General features: G+C 36.3%; 1 protein-coding gene across 7 annotated transcripts in view; it reads right to left on the minus strand.

The window, feature by feature from the left end:
* Nucleotides 1–19,248, minus strand: part of PCLO (piccolo presynaptic cytomatrix protein) — a 408,873-nt gene that overhangs the window by 367,696 nt on the left and 21,929 nt on the right. For all 7 annotated transcript variants that reach the window (XM_017012006.3, XM_047420211.1, NM_033026.6 and 4 more), the window contains exon 3: nt 12,543–13,949. In XM_017012006.3, the coding sequence (XP_016867495.1) occupies nt 12,543–13,949 (1,407 nt within the window). The remainder of the gene's footprint in view (nt 1–12,542; nt 13,950–19,248) is intronic.

Genomic DNA, 19,248 nt, shown 5'->3' on the forward strand with positions numbered 1-19,248 from the left:
AAAGCATGGATTGCTATACTTAGACAAATGTTATAGATTTCAAGGAGAAAAGTATGAAAAGAATCAAAGAAGGTAATAATATAATGATAAACGATTCAATTAAGTGAGAGGCTATAGCCCTGACACCAAAACCAAAGACACAACAACAAAATAAAACTATAGCCTAATATCTCTGATAAACATTTATGCAAAAATCCCCAACAAAATACTAGTAAACCAAATTCCAACAACACATTAAAAAAATCATCCATCATGACCAAGTGAGATTTATCCCAAGAATGCAAGGATGGTTCAACATACACTAGTCAATTAATGTGATACATCATATCAACAGAAAGAAAGACAAAACCATATGATCCTTTTAACTGATACTGAAAAAAGCATTTGATAAAATTCAAGATACCTCATGACAAAAACCATTGCAAAACTGGGGATAGAAGGAACACACCACGACACAATAAAAGCCATATAAAACAGACCCACAGCTGATGTACTGAATGAAAAAAATTAAAATCCTTTCCTCTAATATCTATAATAAGACAAGGATGCACTCTTTCCTTCTTTCTTTCTTTTCTTTTCTTTTTTTTTTTTTTTTTTTTATGGTGTTTTGCTCTATTGCCCAGGCAGGAGTGCAGTGGTGCAATCTCGGTTCACTGCAACCTCTGACTCCCAGGTTCAAGTGATTCTCCAGCCTCAGCCTCCCAAGTACCTGGGATTACAGACGTCCACCACCACGCCCAGCTAATTTTTGTATTTTTAGTAGAGAGAGTGTTTCACCATGTTGGCTAGGTTGGTCTCGAACTGCTGACCTCAGGTGATCCACCCACCTGGGCCTCCCAAAGTGCTGGGATTACAGTGGTGAGCCACTGCGCCTGGCCTAGGATGCCCACTTTCACCACTGTTATTCAACGTAGTACTGGAAGTCCTAGCTATAGCAATTAGACAAAAGAAAGAAAGGAAGGGCATACACATTGGAAGAAAAGAAGTCTAATTATCCATGTCTTTAAATAATATAATCTTATATTTTGAAAAACTTAAAGACTCCACCAGAAAAACAATTAGAATTGACAATGTCAGTAAATTTGTAGAATACAAAATCAAAATACAAAAACCAGTAGCATTTCTATATGCCAACAGCGAACAACCTCACAAAATAAGAAAGTAACTTTTTTTACAATTGCTACAAATTAAATTAAATACTTAGACATAAACTTAACCAAGGAAGTGAAAGTTCTCTACAATAAAAACTATAAAACATTGATGCAACAAATTGGAAAGGACACAAAAAAGGAAAGATAGTTCATGTTTATGGATTAGAAGAATTAATATTGTTAAAATGTCCATACTACCCAAAGCAATCTACAGATACAATGCAATCTCTATCAAAATACTAGTAACTTTCTTCACAGAAATAGAAAAAAAATTTATATAGAACCACAAAAGACCAAGAATAGCCAAAGCCATCCTGAGCAAAAGGAATAAAACTGGAAGACTCACATTACCTGACTTTAAATTATACTACAGTGCTGTAGTAACCAAAACAGCATGGCACTGGCATAAAAGTAGACCCGTGGACCAATGGAACAGAATAAAGGACTCAGAAATAAGTTCATACATCTACAGTGAACTCATTTTCAACAAAGATGCCAAGAAACTATACCTTGGGGAAAGTGTATTCTCTTCAATAAATGGTCCTGGGAAAATTGCATATCCAAATGCAGTAGAAGGAAACTAGATCCCTGTTTCTTACCATATACAAAAATGAAATAAAATTGATTAAAGAATTAAATCTAAGATCTGAAACTATGAATCTACCAGAAGAAAGCATTAGGGAAACTCTCCAGAACATTGGTCTGGGCAAAGATTTCTTGAGCAATACCTCAAAAGCACAGGCAACAAAAGCAAAAGTTGAAAAATGGGATCATATCAAGTTAAAAAACTTCTTCACAGCAAAGGAAAGAACAAAGTGAAGGGACAACCCATATAATGGGAGAAAATTTTGCAAACTATCTATCTGACAAGGGATTAATTTCCAGAATATACACAGAGCTGAAACAAATCCATAGAAAAAAATCTAAAATCTGTTAAGAAATAGGCAAAAGGGTCAGGCGCAGTGGCTCACGCCTGTGATCCCAGCACTTTTGGAGTCCGAGGCCAGTGGATCACCTGAGGTCAGGAGTTTGAGATCAGTCTGGCCAACATGGTGAAACCCTGTCTCTACTAAAAATACAAGAGAGAAACTCTGTCTCAAAAAAAAAAAAAAAAAAAAAAAAGGCAAAAGGTCTGAATAAGCATCTCTCCAAAGAAAACATACAAATGGCCCAGGCACAGTGGCTCACACCTGTAATCTCAGTACTTCAGTACTTTGGGAGGCGGGCGGATCATGAGGTCAGGAAATCGAGACCATCCTGGCTAACATGGTGAAACCCTGTCTCTACAAAAAATACAAAAAAAAAAAAATTAGCCGGGTGCAGTGGCGGGCGCCTGTAGTCCCAGCTACTCGGAAGGCTGAGGCAGGAGAATGGCGTGAACCAGGAAGGCGGAGCTTGCAGTGAGCCGAGATAGCGCCACTGCACTCTGAGCTTGCAGTGAGCCGAGATAGCACCACTGTACTCCAGCCTGGGCGGAAGAGCGAGACTCCGTCTCAAAAAAAAAAAAAAAAAAGAGAAAGTAAACATACAAATGTCCAACAGGCATATGAAAACCTGCTCAACATCATTAGTTATCAGAGAAATGCAAGTCAAAACTACAATACATTCTCTCACTCCATTTAGAATGGCTTTTATCCAAAAGACAGGCAAAAATAAATGTAGGTGAGGATCTGGAGAAAGGTGAGCCCTCACACATTGTTGATGGGAATGTTAAGTTAGTACAGCCACTATGGAGAATAGTATGGAAGTTTCTTAAAAAGCTAAATGTAGAACTACTATACGATCCAGCAATACCACTGCTACGTATACATCCAAAAGAAAGGGAATATGTGTATAAAAGACATATATGCTCTCCCTCTCCCTCTCCGTCGTCTCCATCTCCCGCTTTCCACGGTCTCCCCCTCTCCCTCGTCTCCCTCTCCCGCTTTCCAGGGTCTCCCTCTGTTGCTGAGGCTGGACTGTACTGCTGCGATCTCGGCTCACTGCAACCTCCCTGCCTGATTCTCCTGCCTCAGCCTGCCGAGTGCCTGGGATTGCAGGCGCACGCCGCCACGCCTGACTGGTTTTTGCATTTTTTGGTGGAGACGCGGTTTCGCCGTGTTGGCCGGGCTGGTCTCCAGCTCCTGACCTCGAGTGATCTGCCCGCCTTGGCCTCCCGAGGTGCTGGGATTACAGACGGAGTCTCGCTTACTCAGTGCTCAATGTTGCCCAGGCTGGAGTGCAGTGGCGTGATCTCGGCTCGCTACAACCTCCACCTCCCAGCCGCCTGCCTTGGCCTCCCAAAGTGCTGAGATTGCAGCCTCTGCCCGGCCGCCACCCCGTCTAGGAAGTGAGGAGCCTCTCTGCCCGGCCGCCCATTGTCTGGGATGTGAGGAGTGCCTCTGCCCGGCCGCCACCCCATCTGAGAAGTGGGGAGCCCCTCCGCCCGGCCGCCGCCCCCTCTGGAAGGTGGGGGGCACCCCCGCCCGGCAGCCGCCCCATCTGGGAAGTGGGGGGCTGCTCTGCCCGGCCACCACCCCATCTGGGAGGTGGACCCAACAGCTCATTGAGAACGGGCCATGATGACGATGGTGGTTTTGTCGAATAGAAAAGGGGGAGATGTGGGGAAAAGAGAGATCAGACTGTTACTGTGTCTGTGTAGAAAGAAGTAGACATAGGAGACTCCATTTTGTTCTGTACTAAGAAAAATTCTTCTGCCTTGGGATGCTGTTAATCTATAACCTTACCCCCAACCCCCTGCTCTCTGAAACATGTGCTGTGTCAACTCAGGGTTAAATGGATTAAGGGCGGTGCAAGATGTGCTTTGTTAAACAGATGCTTGAAGGCAGCATGCTCCTTAAGAGTCATCGCCACGCCCTAATCTCAAGTACCCAGGGACACAAACACTGCGGAAGGTCGCAGGGTCCTCTGCCTAGGAAAACCAGAGACCTTTGTTCACATGTTTATCTGCTGACCTTCTCTCCACTATTGTCCTATGACCCTGCCAAATCCCCCTCTCCGAGAAACACCCAAGAATGATCAATAAATACTAAAAAAATTAAAAAAAAATAAAAGACATATATGCACTCCCATGTTTACTGCAGCACTATTCACAATAGCCAATATTTGGAATCAACCTAAATGTCCATCAACAGATGAATGGATAAAGAAAATGTGGTACATATATAGCATGGAATATTATCCATCTATAAAAAAAGAATGAAATTCTGTCACTTACAACAACATGGATAGAACTGGAAGACATTAAGCAAAATAAGCCAGTCACGGAAAGACAAATTTCTTATATTCTCACTCATATGTGGGAACTAAAAATTAAAACAATTGAACTCATGGCGATAGACAGTAGAATGATGGTTACCACAGGCTGGGAAGGATAGTGGGTGGAGCAGGGCTGTGGGGATAGTTAATGAGTACAAAAATACAGATAGAATGAATCAGATTTAGTATCTGATAGCAAAACAGGGTGACTACAGTCAACTATAATTAATTATATATTTCAAAATTACTAAAAGAGTGACATTGGAATGTTCCTAACACAAATAAATGAGAAATGCTTGAGCTGACAGACAACCCAGTTATCCTGATGTGATTATTATATATTGTATGCCTATATCAAAATATCACATGTACCCCATAAATATATACACGTACTATGTACTCATAAAATTAAAAATGTAAAAGTAATCATAAAGAAAAATTAAAATACTTGATTGCATAAAAATAAAAAAATTCATATAAGAATGAATCTCATAAAGAAATTTAAAAATGAGTGACAGATAAGGGAAAATCATTTCCAGATAGATAAATTGATAAAGATTTAAATTATCTAAAACATAATATACAGACACTCCCTCCCCCAAAATCACCAACAGGTATAAAAAGGAAATTTTTAAGAGGAGAAATATAACTGATTAATAAACTCGTGATGTTGATAAAAACTTATATGATGTTTACCCTCAAAATAGGCAGGGAAAGTTAAATTTATGCAACAATGCAATATAATTTCTGGCTCATGAAATTGATAAATATTATATACTAGTTAATGTAGGAAAAAAGAGATACATTGTTGGCAGGACTATAATTATTATCAATATTTAACAAAGTAATATGGAAGTTTCCATGAAATTTTAAAACCCATTTACCTGAATACATCCATTTCAATGAATTTATATACTTAAAAATACAATGTAAATTATATGTACAAACATTTTACTACCGCTTTGTTTATAAAGTAACAAGAGCTAGAAACACTCCCAATTTGTTAGTTTTCAAGAGGAGAATGTCTGTAAGTACTGTGAGATATTGTACATCTATTCACCTTATAAATACAACGATACCTTATAAATACAATGAGGTAAGTCGGTGAGTGTTCACTTGAGAATGACTAATGTATAATGTTTAGTGAAAAAAAATCAATGAAAATATGTGTAAGTTCACATATTTGTTTCAAAATAAATAATTTTCAAAAACATAACTATCCCAATAAAGTTTTAAAAATGTCAAATCCTTCCACATGTCAGTCACTATGTGTATATAACCATTATAAAAACAAGCAAAAATCATTAGAAGGTATGTTTAAATAGATAAGATATCACTTTCAGGCATGCAGAGGGAAGAGGAACCCATTCATTTTCCTTCAGATATTTCACTACTCTGTGGATTGTAATAAGAAAGAATACTACTTTTGGAATTAAAATTATTGAAATAGAATTTTAAAAGTAAAATGAATGACCATCAAAAAATGAAAGGAAGAAAATACTGGACATGGTGATATATTCCATTTGTAATATTCTGCATTTCTCAGTCTTCTGGTAGCAATTACTTCAACAGCTGAACATTTCCCCTAAAGCCACAGAGATAGTATAAACAGACTCAAGAGTTCTGAAAAGAACAGAGGAATCATTTGGAACCAGAGAGGTCAGCAGAAAATATAGGATGTTCTGACCTAAAGTTTGATAAAGCCACAGTATGCTAGTAGGTAATGTGGATATTGCTTACTAATGATTAGCAGGACCTAAGTACTTTGATCATTAGGCCACACCAGGCATCAGCAGTGTATCTCTTGACAATGATAGCCTTGAGATCTATCTTCTCTGTAGACCATATAAAAAATAATCACACAAATATGCTATGCTACACTGTATGCATATGCAATATCAAAGTTAAAAGATAAAAAGGCAATAGTAACAACAATATTTGAGGAACAAAAGCCTTACCCAATATTAATTGCACTTGAATGAATTCAGAAGGAGCCAAAGGAAGCCTTACATCTTTTATACATTTTAGAAATATCAATTACTATCCAAAAGAGCCAACAATCAAACCATCGAGACAGGGATAAAGCCCAAGACCGGGGATGTAAAACGAAATGGCTTGTGCAAAAGATAAGGTGGGAGAGTGTAACCAGAAAAAATGAACAAGTCATAATATAAGAACAATACTAACCCAATATTCTAAAATGTCATTTCTATATATAATCAACAAAAATTGTTTTTGCGATATTTAACTTTTTTCATACTAAGTTTTTGAAATCAAATTTGTATTTTACACTTCAAGAACATCCTAATTTGAGTTAGCACAGCGTTCATCAGCACACGTGACCAGTGACTATTATTTCAGATCATCTCCAGAAAAACAGTAGCATACATGCAAACTTCGTTAGACTATTAATTGATACAACCACTGTGGAAAACAAAGTTAGAATGTGCATAACCTATGGCCCAATAATTCAATTTCTGGGAATGTAACAAAAAAAAGACTATACAGAAAAGATAGAAGCAAAGACTTCACCACCACGACCAATGAAACACTGAGATAGTTATCATTTTCATGGAGTAAAGTCTTTGCATGCATTGGAAAGAATATAACAGTATTTCTTGCAACTGGAACAACTATGTTTTACACACTCATACTCACTAGAAAGGCAGATAAATCATTTGAACATTGAACCATATACTTTCACCTAGGAATGGTGGCCAGTTTGTAGACTTAGCTGGAAAAAACAATTGCACAATGATTCCAGCTTCTATGCTTCTCTGAACCCCTGAATCTGCTTCATTCTTCTAAATTCAACCATGTAACAGCCATCATTATTCCAAGGGCCCCAAATGTTACCTGGATGTTATGCATATATTTACAAATTTGTTGGTATTAAAATCCTAGCAATTACCAACTGATGCAACTTTAAGAGAGCACTGAACAAGTGGCATTATTATCTAGTACCTTAGGTTTTCTAAACAATATAGTAAAGAGACCACTGGCTTAACCTCTGAACTATACCTTTGTGGCTTGATAGCTACACCTCTCAGATACTCATTCTCCTAATCTCTAAAATACAATAAAACCTATCCCACAGGGTTGTGGTGAGAAAAGTGCTTGGCACAATTGCCTCACATAGGCCAAGTCAAAATAGCTGCCCTATTATAATTTTTTTAAGCAGTAATTGATATCAATTTACCTTTCAAACATCGCACAGTTTTTTTTTCTGGATCATAATTAAAATCATCTATTTACGTTTAATATCTAAAATAAAAACACATGGTAATCAAAAATATAAGGCAAAGGAACAATATTACAGCACTTTTAGACTTCCAAATTAAATATTATTTTAGATATTATTCAAGTTTGGAAGGCTATAGTGAGAAAGAAATCACATACACTAGTGGTGGCAGTGTTGACTGCTATCACATTTCCAAAGAGAATTTGTTATTCCAAGGTCCTCATCCCTTGATGTAGCAACCGTAGTACAAGTTTTCCTTGGGAAATAGTTAAAAATACTAACATTTTTGTCCAGAAAATTCATTAAAAATGACAACAGCCTAAATCCTGAGTATAAGAAAAATGTGTATAACAAAAACATACATCCATAGAATTAGGTAATAATTATTTAAAATGTTACTTTGGGTGTTTAATTATATGGAGAAATGTTATATGTTTACTCAGATACAGAACTACTATACAGAGTAGAACATTAACTACGTAAAAATGCATAGAAAAATGGGAACTAAGAAGAAAATTACTTTTGGCTTAAATTTATTTAAACAAAAATACAGCTTTATTTTTAATTGCTCATTGAATATTTTAACTAAATATTGCTCAATAAAAAGTACATCAAATTTATCTTAAAAATTATTGACTTAAATTTATTTCCTAATTTTTTTTTTTTAATGTCCAGCTTATAAACTTTTTATACCGACTTTAAAACTGCTATCAGGTGTATTCTTTGCCATGGGTGCCAGAAATTTTTAATTAATGTAGATGTCCATTATGTTTTTGTTGTTGTTGTTGTTGTTGTTGTTGTTGTTATTATTTGAGACGAAGTCTCCCATTATTATTATTTGAGACGAAGTCTCTCTGTGTTGTCCACGCTGGAGTGTAGTAGGGAAAACTTAGTTCACTGCAACCTCTGTCTCCCAGGTTTAAGCAATTCTCCTTCCTCAGCTTCCTGAGTAGCTAGGACTACAGGCATGAACCACCATGCCGGCTTTCTCATATTTCTAGTAGAGACAGGATTTTGCCGTGTTGGCCAGGCTGGTCTCAAACTCCTGACCTCAAGTGATCTGCCCACTTCGGCCTCCCAGAGTGCTGGCATTACAGGCATGAGCCACTGTGCTGACCAGTCTCCATTATGTAATTCTTTTGAAACTAATTAATGGTAGAATTCTTTTATCCTTATTGATTTCTTCTTATTGATAATTCTTTTAGCCTTTAATTTCTTTTGTGTGTGTGTATGTAAATGCTTTTGAGTACTGAATATATATGCTTTTTAATGTATTAAGTAATGGCCATTAAAGTAAAAGGAAGATATGTGTTTGCAAACTAAAAAATGCAGGATATCTCCACTAGGCCATTTTTGAGTATTTAATGGAAAATGTGGAAGCCACCCAGGCAGACAGAGTAAAGATCTCAAAAAATCTCAGTTACATCACTGGGTCTTATCTTAAAAGACTCATTTGTTGCATAGTGACAAATATCTCCTAGCAATTCCTACATTATTTAGGCCATGCACAATCATCTTGCTAAGGAAGCAAAATTATGACTCCAGGACTTCCTGAAACATGAGGAAACATATTTACTTTTAAATATTATTTTCATAGTAAAAAAGTTAGCTTAGAAAAGGGTGCTATCAACAATAAAATAAATATCCATTATGAGTAATTCTGACTCATTTTGAATTTGATTACCAGAATGACAAAAAATTCACTAGGTAAACTGATTAGGCTGTTTTTCTCAGTATGCTTCCAAATTCTGTAAGACCAGCTTTTTAAGAAAGCTCAACTGCCATTTTTAAAACTCTTTCCAATACAAGGTATTTTCTGACTTGGCAGAAATTAAAGCCTAAAAGAATTGTCTCTTGCTGTCAGAGGTTAACGGATCATATTGCCATTTATACAAACTGGGCATCAATCAGTTAAACAGTAAGGCTTAGGTTGAGGTCTGGCTGCACCCCAGGGCCTGCAGGCAGCCGTTGGCACTCCTCAGGTACAGTGGGAGGTGTTATGTATGAGACAGGAAACAACCTTAGCGACAGGTGTGTTTGATTAATGAAGGAGAAAGAGGGAAACCATCTACAGCTTCCCAACCAATGACAAAATATGACGAGCTCTTCTCACAACCGGAGAAACAGAATAGCCAAAGGGAGAGGGGGCCAGGGTGGCACCAGCAGGAAAAATGTCCTGTCTCACAGCAACCAGTATAGGAGAAGCAGAAGCTTGTATTAGAGAGTTGGACATACTTCATAAGAAAATAAATGAAATTATTGAATCTTTTCTTGAGGGAATACCATTTATTTGGACTTCAGGCCTAAAATCTGAGTATTTTCAGAATGTCCCCTCTGAGACTGGCATGGAAGTACGGTACTAACCAGCCAAGCAGAAAATATTAGGTCACAAGAAACATATTACAAGCAGAATAAGGAAAACATAGACACACAACAAAGATCTGGGAGGAGATGCTTTCCTAACTCCTGAGAGAAATGAAGAAAGATTTATTAGTAGGAACACTGACATTGTACCATGAATTACACCTGTTAATAGTATTTACAGTTTGCTGGATACATATACATCTATACATAAGGGTATATGTATATATGTTTATATATGTATATGTGTACAAAGGTATATATATGCATATATACACACATATGCAAACACATGCCATTCTTTTCAACTAACTCCTTTTGCCATTTTTCCAAAGTCCTATGGAGTAATGATAGAGACTACCTGAACATGTAATAACTCAGCTAACCTTTATTCATTCCCCTGATGCCAAGTGAACTTTACCTAGAAACCAGAGGTCACCAAGATCTTATACTAACTGAAAACTTCATGTACATTAGCATAGTCAAGGTAAGCCAGGAATACTAGTTGCTTTTGTTAGATCTTCTTCCCTTCTGAAACCTAATCTTCCAAATTCAAAGAAACTGCCACAGAGCAAAATAATTTGAACAATGAATGATTATCTAATACGATCACTCACATTTGAAGTATGACCTCATCTAACCTGTCTAAATACTTGAGACAATTTAGATTTTCAAACTATTCAAAGTACTGAAATTCCACACATGTCCTTTGTAATTCTCTGCTTCATTCAAGAAATCTCCTTTCCAAATTACCACTTTCAAAATATAATTTGCCAACACACAGAAAATCAAAGACTTCCCTGAAAGGTGTATTGTCTTTCTACCCAAGGAACTCTCATTAGACTTCCAAATATTGACAGAATTCTAATAATTACTATAATTCAGATGCACACATACATATGTATGCATATCCATACACATATATGTAAAATTTTAAGTTATAGTGCTCAACTCATACTACACACCCATTTTTAAGTGTGTAAAAATATACTTTAAATGCAAAAAGTATAGTTTTGTTTTTAGAAATGCAGTTTGCTTCATAACTTCATTGTGTTGATACTATAAGGATCCTCCTTACAAGGTACAATTTTGTTTAATATATAAAATAAATACAATTGTATTGGGGAAAAATTTTCTCTCATGAATTGACAACCAAAAACTGCTCTTCTAAAAGTGTTTTTTTTAAGGTTTGTTTTTGGTTTTACTTTTACATTGAATCCAAAACACTGTAACTAATAATGACAGTTGTTACCACTCATGAAGTCCTAAGAGAAACCAAAATTTATGTCCCTTTAAGATGACTCTTAGTTAAAATTATTCATCACAGCTAAAGAGGAAAAAAAATCTGCTTAAACTTGTAGCAACAACATTTTCATACAGTGTTAATTAGATCAAAGCAAACAAATGTCTTTTTAAAGTAAAATGAAATTTTTCTATGGTTTATTTTTTAAAAAAATATTTAACTCAAGAACACCACCAAAAACAAACTCTAAAGCTTATTTTATATAAATGCTAAAATCTATTCAATTTTTTCATCATAATGAATAACAAAATCAAGGACATTGGAGTGAAATTATTCTTAAGTATTTTTGGTTTGTATGAAACCTTGGAACAATTATTCAGATTAATTCCCAGACTGTTTATTAAAACATTGTTGTTACTTATTTAAGACAGCAGTAATTGTTTAACCCTCTAGTCTCCCATGATTTAAATATTCTAATAGCCCTAACATGCTATTAATGTTAATAAATTCATTCTTTTATAACTATATTAGAAATTCGTCGTCTGCTTTTTAGTCATTTACATTGCAGAAAAAGTATTCTTATCATCCCTTTAAAAAACCCTTCATGTTAGTTATAGAAATTCATATATCTTTCTTTCTTTCCACAGCTCCTAGTAAAGTGCCATATCATACAGATGCCCAATAATATTTCAAACAGAATTATAAAAAGCCTAAATATAATATATTTGAACCACTATTTTCTAATAGGCAAAATTTTTAACTTACACAAAGTTCTTAACAGTTTTTAACTGTTCTTAACATAGTAGATTTTATGGTGTTTATGCATATTCAACCAAACAAACTTCTTTTATTAATGTATTACAGAGACTGGAAGGATTAGAGATGGGAATAAAATATTAAAACCTTTTATCTGGAGTTTACATGTGAAAATATTAAAACCTTTTATCTGGAGTTTACACGTGAAAATAGTCCTCAAAAGCTATTATTTTTTTCTTTATTTCATGAATGATTGGCTCATTGTTATATTAATTTAATAATTAAGATGTTCATTTAACTTATTTCATCTTCTTACTTGTGGAACATTAACCCAGGAAAGTACAAATAACATGAACTCTTAGTAAGAAGGTAAGCTGGTAATAAGTAATTGAAACTTCTAAGATTATCAATTTATTTTCTTCACCACAAATGTATTTTTTGCTCAGATATTTGGCCACCCAAATGTTTCAAAATAAACCCACAGACTCACCTCCATATGTAATATATATATATATATATATATATAACTTACCTCAGTCAAATGTGGTGTAGGGTTAAATCCACAGAGATTACACACTTGATTCTTGCATTCAGTGCAAGTATTGAAGTTAGGAGGATCCTTAGAACCTATGTTGAGTTCAGTTTTGCAGAGAGGACAGGTTGATTCTGGTTTGGGCGATTTCTCCAGTTTTGTGGGAAGGACAGCCTTTTGAGGCTCAGCTGTTAAAGATTTGCTATCCTTAATAGGTGGTGGCTTTTTTTCTGTTTCTGTTCTTTTTACTGTTGGAGCTTGTTCAGCTTTGGGCTCTAATTTTTCAGCTGCTGGGGCTTTTGTTTCCTTTTTCACAGGTATACTTTTTGCAGGTGCTGGTGGTGCTTGACCTGTGGATTTGGGTGGCCCTTGTGAAGTAGGTGGCTGTGAAGGGGCAGGGGCTTGTTTCATTGGGGCCCCTGGTCCACTTTGTGAATGAGGTCCAGGTTGGCCTGCAGTGGAAATTAAATTTGATGCCTGGCTGAAGATTGATGCTCCAAACCCAAAGAGTTTCCCAGTCACGGTCTCTTGAGGAGTTGTAGGCTGTGATTTGGGGGCATCAGTAATACTTCCCAGATTCAGACTGAAACGCCTTGACTGCTCCTGAGGCTTTGGGGACTGTTGAGGTGTGGGGACAGTTTGGCCAGCGGTAGGTCGTGGGCCAGGGGGTGTTGGTGACCCTTTTGGCATTGGCTTGGCATCTGGTTTAGGACTCATTTTGGTTTGTGCTTTCTTGGGTTCTTCCTTCTTTTGTACGGGGTCAACTTGTTTTTGACCTTTGCTCTCTGAACTGGGACCAGGATGTGAAATAATTTTTGAATCTGATGCAGGTCGAGGTATGGCTTTAGAATCAAATGGGCTGACTTTTTCCCCTGTTGGTGGAAAACTCTGTGAGGGTTTGGCAGAGTCTGTTTTTAGAGGAGGGGTTGTTTTCTCTTCAGCTTGTGACTGTACTTTGGAGCTTGGAATATCAGGTTTTGTTGTTGCTGATGATGAAGATACAAGGTCAGTGGTTGGCTTTACCATCTTGGGCTGCTTTGGTTTATCATCAGCAACAGGGGCCTTGTCCTGCTCAGATGGGACAGAAGGTTCTTTGGGAGGGGCTGGCTTGGACAAAGAATCTGCCTCAGGGGGCTGCTTGGCCTTGGCTGAAGGAGAGCCATGAAGGGTTGGTTGTTTCACTAGTGGTGGTGGCTTTTTAGGCTCAGGTGCCTTGGAGAGATCCTGTTTTGGTGCAGCATCCTTCTTTGGGGAAGTCTGCTGTGGCTGTGGGGATGATTTGCTCACTGCTGATGTAGTGGTAACAGGTGCAGTCTTCAGTTTGGGCTGGGGTGATGACGGAACTGGAGCCAGATCCCCGCCTAGAGCTCTTTTCATTTGACAGTTCAAACAGAGCCACTCTTTTACCTACAAATAATATAAAACAATGGTCACCGAGACAATACTGTAAAAACACAAAAATGTTTTCAAAACATGCATACTGCCATTTGAAACTATGTCTCTCATCATTCAAAGCAGAAAATATAGAGAAAATTATTTTAATAAATTGATATTAAAATATAATTAATTGCCAGGCGTGGTGGCTCATGCCTGTAATCCCAGCACATTGGGAGGCTGAGGTGAGTGGATCACAAGGTCAGGAGTTTGAGACAAGCCTGACCAACATAGTGAAACCCCATCTCTACTTAAAATACAAAAATTAGCTGGGCATGGTGGTGTACACCTGTAATCCCAGTTACTCAGGAGGCTGAGGCAAAAAAATCACTTGAATCCAGGAGGCTGAGGTTGCAGTGAGCCGAGATCGCGCCATTGCACTCCAACCTGGGTGACAGAGTGAGACTCTGTCTCAAAAAAAAAAAATTATATATATATGTCTCCTCAGGGACTAAAGTACCCTATATTAAGGAATATATAAAGTAAAAATCAAAATATAGTTTTGTGTTTCTTCTAATGGTAATTGTTATTCTTTGCCTTTGATTTACTTAAATTTTGATTATCCCCAGAAATAGAAAACCATGTATAATTTAAGAAAAAGCAAGTTTTATGTGTTTTTTTAACAAGCTTTCACAAAATTTGTTTTTTCTTAGATTATACATGGTTTTCTGTTTCTGGGAATAAAACATGTTAGATATCATAAATCAGTTATGAGAGTTATTTTCTCTATTGATGGCTCATAATCAATTTTAAGATATACAGCCCAGAGTAGGATTGCTAAATTATGAACACATTGCTAATTTTTAAAATTAGCAAAGCATTACTCCCCCCTCCCAGGTGACATTCAAATATTTTAAAATACAAATTGTTAACAATGCTGAGTTAGAAATAGGATATTCTCTGTTAACAAAGTAAATAAAAAATAATAGCACTCCCTCAAATGATCACAAATAGCATGATTTAACAGGGAAAACATGGTTTCCTTAGAAATTTTATGAAGATACTTGAAAAAGCAATATGAGTAAGTAACGTACATATTTGACTGGTGATATATACATGTACATGTATGCATGTGAATGAGAGAGATTTGTATATATATGAGATATACATATATATACACAATATGCAAATGCTTTTTTGCATTGCATCTATTGTGAAAAGATGTTGTGTTTGATACCATATTTTACAAGATAATTTAAAAGTACCTATGTTTAACATTTACCTTTTTTATTATTCTAAAATAATGTTTCCTTATAATAGATTATTTTAAATATTACCAAAATAATTTAGAATATATAATTATGCCATGATCCAACGTTCTCCACCCAAGGTAACCAATGTAAATAATTTGGCACTGAAATTCTTTGTACAGAATGCTGCACAATGAAACAATATATATAAATAGAAGGAGCACAGGCACCAGACAAATTTCCCACAGTACAAAATTGCAAAGTGTTCAGCTGGCAAACAGTACATTTTCTATTTTCAAACAGTTTCTTTTTGAAAAACAAATTGAATTAATCATTCCTAAACATTTTAAAACTTCTTTGAAATTATTTAAACTCATGTACCAGTATCACAAGGCTTATTTTGCACTCTCACGGAAAGTAAACTTATGTTTGGAGAAGGTTAAATGAGATTTTCAGTTTGAACTGAAACGTTATACTTCTGTTTTAAAAACTGAATCACAAAGTAAAATTATGATATTGTTAAACATGGGTGGTTGGTACATGGATATTCATTCATTCATTCATTCATTTATTTAGAGATGGAGTCTCGCTCTGTCGCCCAGGCTGGAGTGCAGTGGTGCGATCTCGGCTCACTGCAAGCTCTGCCTCCCAGGTTCACGCCATTCCCCTGCCTCAGCCTCCCGGGTAGCTGGGACTATAGGCGCCCACCACCACGCCCGGCTGATTTTTGGTATTTTTTAGTAGAGACAGGTTTTCACCGTGTTAGCCAGGATGGTCTCCATCTCCTGACCTCGTGATCTGCCCACCTCAGCTTCCCAAAGTGCTGGGATTACACAGGCATGAGCCACCACGCCCGGCCATGGATATTCATTATATTTATTTGCAATATGGGTATTATACACCTCTGTACTCACTATATTGTCTTAACCTTTCTATATGTTTGAAGCATTTCACAAAATAAATAACTCTTTATACATATAAATATTTGAAGTCCTAAAACAATCAAACAATTGCTACTTCTGCAAGTACCATGACAAAAGGCAGGCAAAAATGTAAGAAAATTTTCACTCCATTTTCCTTAATGGAAGGAAATATGTCTATAAATATGCATCTACCCACTCACTCATATCCCCTATTATCAATGTCAACTCTGCTGTTCTACTATGTGTTTTTCTCATTAATTTTCTTCCATAGTCTCACATGATCACCTCATAATCATGCAGCCAGACAAAAGAAGAAAAATAGAATTAAAGGCATAATTCTTACATGTATAGTCACTGACTTTTTTCTATAAAATACCTATTACGTGCAAGATCTGTATCCACATTAACTAGTTTAAATTATAAATTTCCAGGATTAGTAATTTTCATTACCATTAATTGCTTTTATTCTTTTTAACAAGCGTCATAACCAAAGTAGTTTCAAAATAAAAAATTCTTTTATGCAAATATTTATTGAGCACCTTCTATAAGGCAAATACCACTGAATAAAAGAAGCAAAAATCATGCCGGGCGCTGTGGCTCAGGCCTGTAATCCCAGCACTTTGGAAGGCCAACATGGGCAGATCTCCTGAGGTCAGGAGTTCGAGACCAGCCTGGCCAACATGGTGAAACATTGTCTCTATTACAAATACAAAAATTAGCCAGGTGTAGTGGTGCATGCCTGCAGTCCCAGCCATTTGGGAGGCTGAAGTTGGAGAATCGCTTAAACCTGGGAGGTGGAGGTTGCATTGAGCCGAGAAGCACTCCAGCCTGGATGACGGAGCAAGACTGTCTCAAAAAGAAAAAAAAAAGAAGCAGCAGCAAATATCCCTGTCCTGATGGAGGCTATATAACAACCAAACAAGTGAATGCATAAGACAATTTCAAGGTTATGGTAGATACCATAAGTGGGAGATGAACAATGAGAACACATGGACACAGGGAGGAGAACATCACACACTGGGGCCTCTCGGGGGGTGGGGAAATAGGGGGTGATAGCATTAGGAGAAATACCTAATGTCGATAACAGGTTAGTGGGTGCAGCAAACCACCATGGCACGTGTATATCTATGTAACACACCTGCACGTTCTGCACATGTATCCCAGAACTTAAAGTATAATAAAAAAAGACATTAAAAAATTATGATATAAAATCCCAATTCAAGTTGTTTTAAAAAGAGAAAACAATTATCTTTATATAATAGCGGAAAATATAGATGGCGGAATTAAAGCCTCGTCATATTTTCTAACAGAACTTTCTGATAAACTTGATTAAATAAAAATTTTAAATATCACTAAACACATAGAAGAAATAAATTTAAACCTTCACAAAAAATAAAGTACAATGAATGAAGACAAGGTGTACTTGAAAAAAGAACTGAATAAATATTCTACATATAAAAAAAATCTGATGATATTGTGGTGATTCTTTACTTTGCTACTAGTTTCTCTTTTTTTCTTCTGAAAAATTTCTTGGGATGTATTTGGTTTCATTAGTAAAATTCTAAGTTTCTTTGCAATCTGAACATTGGAGCTTCATCCATAGCCAGTATGCCCTAACATTATCTTTGGACAACTGTAAAATTAGAACACTGCCAGACATATTTAATGTATGATGTATATCAACACTGGGACACATTTTATACTATCTTTATTCCAAAATCAAATGATTCACTGTGGTTTATAAATGTACATGGATATATCTCTACCTAAGCAGATAGTTAGGAGAGTTAGTAAAAATGAGGTGGAAAATAGGAGTCACTGTCCCTTCACAGGGAGAGAATTCTGCTTTTCTCCTAATATACCCTTTGCTTGAACAGACTCCAACCCCTCATCTTTTGTCCTTTAAATGACCACATTTATTTTAACTTTGATAAACAACACAGAAAGATATTTGATCCATCAACATTCACCCTCATTGCTAGAATACGGGTTGAAATCATTATCTACGGCTAGCACTATATAAAAGCTTTTATCCTCTTAGGATTTTTTAGAAAGCACCTCCTTTTTATTTAATTATACTGGCCAAATCTGTTGAAGGTAGAAATGATTTGTATTTCAGCACTTAACAGTCTTGTATTGAAAACAGCAGCTTTTGCAAGCCCCGATGCAACTGACAAAAAGACAAAAGAAAAAGAAAAAAGAAAAAAATCTTTCCTACACATTGACCAAATGAAAAAGTCCATAACCAGCCCCAGCATTAACGTCACAAACCATCTTTACTGTCAGTCAGGTCTTTCACAGCGCACTTAGGGTGAGCAATGAATAGTAATACTTCCACTGCTTTCTCAGTTACCCAAGTTCAAAATCTCATAATATTTTTGCCACATTCCGATTTATTCTGAAGTGGGTCTGGATTGCTTGTGAAATGTTCTCTCACATTTCCAAAGCCACTGTCTCTCATTTGGCCATTATTATTTCTCAAACACTTCACATTTTCACCAAAAGTAACCTGTTTAATACAACCACTCCCCTTCAAACCTCAATGCCTTAATGCCTTTATCTATGAAATAAAGTAAAAATGTTTACAAGAAATTTAAAGTATATAATTCTGTTGGTGTTCTTATGCTAGTATTTATGTAATTCTGCTATTTCCAAGCCTGTATCTCCCCAGACTCAAAACAACAAACTGTAAAGATTTACTCATGGTAGTCTTTCTATTAATCTCCAGTGTATATATGACACTTTAAGCATCAGTTATGTTCACAAACATTTTTTGAACTAGTTTGAATTAAACAAATTAATTTAAAATATTTAACTGTGCTCTGTGTTTACTGTGAATCTCCCACTGTTTAGCCAATCTGTACAGCATTCTCAAGATGCATGCCATTCTCCATAGAACCCTACTTTGTACCTTAGGCCACTGAAAATCTATTCACATTTTGATTCAAATTGAAGAGTCTCTCACAATTACAACATCTGCTAGCCATAAATATTTTTCCTGCCTGGAGATAATCACTGCCTTGTTTTACTTCCAAAATTAAACCTTTATCTCCAACACTGAGTAGAGACATACCTGCCTCAGACACTTGCTGCCAGTTACACATAGTAACTATAATACACTTGGTCCCTTCATTCTGCATGATTGGGTTTTCATCTGCT

This window comes from Homo sapiens, chromosome 7 (assembly GCF_000001405.40).
Source record: "Homo sapiens chromosome 7, GRCh38.p14 Primary Assembly".
Classification (NCBI taxonomy): domain Eukaryota; kingdom Metazoa; phylum Chordata; class Mammalia; order Primates; family Hominidae; genus Homo; species Homo sapiens.